The sequence below is a fragment of the Homo sapiens genome, chromosome 11 (assembly GCF_000001405.40).
Source record: "Homo sapiens chromosome 11, GRCh38.p14 Primary Assembly".
Lineage (NCBI taxonomy): Eukaryota > Metazoa > Chordata > Mammalia > Primates > Hominidae > Homo > Homo sapiens.
Window position 1 is genome coordinate 86,115,749 of NC_000011.10, and position 3,062 is coordinate 86,118,810.

General features: G+C 40.4%; 1 annotated feature.

The window, feature by feature from the left end:
* Positions 542 to 1,011: an enhancer, noted in NCBI's record as "active region_5372". NCBI's record gives its function as "activates an Ori minimal core promoter by ATAC-STARR-seq in GM12878 lymphoblastoid cells {active_cell/tissue: GM12878}" and the evidence as "EXISTENCE:reporter gene assay evidence [ECO:0000049][PMID:35858748]".

Genomic DNA, 3,062 nt, shown 5'->3' on the forward strand with positions numbered 1-3,062 from the left:
GAGGCCATTCTCCATAATCCTTACGGAAACTCCTAAGCTAGGTATTATCTCTCCATTTTACAAATGAGTAAGCTGAAGTTCAGGAGGTTAAATGACTGCCAAACCATACAGTTATGTAAAAAGTGGAGCAATGATTTAAACTAGATTTTTCAAATCCTAAAGCTGACATGCTTTCCACTGTACCACAATGTCTTCCTTTGTACTGGTGCACTCCATTTATTTCTGTGATTCCTGACACCAATTTTAGGGCCTGGGACAGCATCCTAATGGAATCATGCCTAGCTGGATAGCAAATGCCTCTGCTGCCAGTAGAGGGGCAACTTAAGAGAAAGGTCCAAGCCAAATTGGATCCAAGAGTTTCTGACTAAGCAGGTTTCAAACCTCCTGCTCACACCTCTTCCTCCTCACTTTCTTTCCCAACATCCTCCCACGGCTCACCTCTACCTCTGTCCACTGGAGACACCATCCTCCAGGTGCTAATAAGAAAGCTACTCTGACCATGGAAAAAGGGAAAGAGGCAGCTCAGCAAAATCACTGCTGAGAGCCTGGGCAGGCTTAGGCAATGTGATCTGAAGAGCTGAAGTGTGCAGCCCACAGAGAGAAAGAATTGGATAAAATACAAAACTAAAGAAGAGGATAAACCTAAGAGGAAAATCTTCCTGACAGAGATGAATTAGTTACGGGACTAACTCCGCAAAGGAAGAGATTGGGCTCCGTTCCCTGAGGCTCCCTGAGCAGAAACCATGTTACAGAGAACAAGTAGGGGGGTTGTGGTTAGCAGGGACATCAATGACTAATAGGTGCTTTCCACCTCTGAGTTTTATGAAGATGAGTGGAGTCTTTTTGAATAGAGAAAGAAATGAAAATAATAATTAACATGGAGAGATGGGGCTGACTAAAGCATGGCAAAGATAAACAGGAATGAGGCTGTTGGCCCTCGTAGTGAGTGTGGAAAATCATTTCTTCCAATTGGGAGAGGCAGAGGTGATCAGTTCAGAGGTTTAAATTCAGAGTCCAGGCTCTGTCACTTACTGATTATCTGAGCAAATTAGTTAGCCTTTCTAAGCTACAAAATAGGAAAAATACACTATTTTTCAGATTATTTCTCACTGCAGATTAGGAGTAATGCCATTGAAAAGGTTCTTATGAAGATTAAATGAGACAACTCATGTAAACAACAGTATCTACTTAGCATGAAGTAAGCACTCAAATGACAGTAATTATTATTGGAATATGGCTTCGTGTGGAGGGGGAAATAGAGCTGGGCAATTATTATCAAGGTCACCATATGGGGATAATTTTTCCCTTTGGACTTAATGATGGCATCTCCTTGGTTTAATTATTTGCTGTGTTGGTAGCTCACATCCTCTCTACTGACTTGGCTTTCAGCTCACGGGAAGATGAAGCCCAAATACAATAGATACCAAGGCAAGCTTGCCAAAGAGCAGCTCAACCCATACTGGTACTCTGAGTCATTCTAAGGATAAAGCCGCCTCTCCATGGAGAAGGATATTGTACACAGGAGATAATACTAATGACACCGTCCATTTACTTAGTCTCTTACAGTTTACAAAGCACTCTTACCTGGGAAGGGTTACTATCTTCATTTTATAGATGAGGAAACAGAGACTTAGAGAGGTGAAGCAACTTGATTAAGGTTGCATAGATAATTGGTTGTGAGGATTCACTCCCAGCTCCTCTGACATCATGTCTGGGGGCTCTTTTATACCACAAGATGCTGCAGGGAACATGAACAGGTACCAGATTAGGAGGCTAGTTGCTTTCAATCATAAAAACAGTGAATTTAGGAACAGGAAGAAGCTTTCAGATGACCTAATACTGTGGTTTTAGATTGTGTCCAGGGGTCTAGTAGGCGGTGGAGGGAGCCAAGCAGGAGGCGGGATCAGCTTTTATCAATTAAATTCATCAGATTTTAATTTGATGAAATTAAAAAGAAAAAGAAAGTTGGAAAAACCTAATCTAGTTCAACTAACTGTCTCATTTCCCCAAGAAGGATATTGAGGCCCAGAAGGGTTAAGTAACTTATCCAAATCAGAGCTAAGACTAGCATAGCACTCAGTCCTCAGTCACCTGCATATTTGATAAGCATGTCATAAATGTCCTCATTCTCCAAATATTTTCCTTTGATTACCTCAAGCAAGTCACTTACATGTAATAATCAAATCATTGAAGAGAAATTAGCTCTGGTGTGAGTCTCTTCTGATGACACCATGTGACCTTGGAATAGTCGATTGATCTCTGGACCCTCAGCTTTTCTATAGGTAAAATGGGGATCATAATTTCTGTCTAGACTCTCAGTGGGGCTGTTGTGATGAATGTAAAAGAAAAGACCATATGGAAGTTCATAGAGTTCTTCCTGGGAAGGAGACTCAGCAAGTTCAATGTCTTATTCTTTATCAATACCTACCAAGAATGTCACTGCTTCTAAGATGATATCTGCAATTTACCATTCTCATTTATTTGTCATTCTTTACTCAAAAAGGCAATGAGGTTTGTAACCATGTCAGTACTACTGGTTTGTGAAAAAGTCTCAGAAAGTTCTTATCACGTTGGCTTTCTGATAAGACTTTTTGATTTCTACTACTTACATGTGGAAAGTAAATCATTTTAGGTTAAACACCTTTCCTTCTAGACAAGTGACAGAGGCAGATGTCACTCAGGGTGTTGTAGCAAGCCTGGGGAGCTCATAGCCAGATGAGATCACAGGACTTGTGTGCAGGGTACAGAGTTTGGAACTCTCCCACCTAACTGGCAGTTTCTCCTCCTTCGACAAGGAATACTAAGAAGATATTATCACAAACTCTTAGGCAGATCTTGAAAACAGTCTAATTTGTTTGTGACCTTAGCCAAATTCTTGATCTCTCTAAGCTTCAGTTTTCTCACCCGTATCATGTACACTTTCCACCTCACAGGGTTGTCAAGGATCAAAAGAGAGAACACAGGGTGTTTTTGAAATTGTTGAGCATCTACTAACTAAAAGGATTGTTATTTTTAAGAATGTGTAAATTATTGCAATTATTTATAACATGCATTTCAATTAA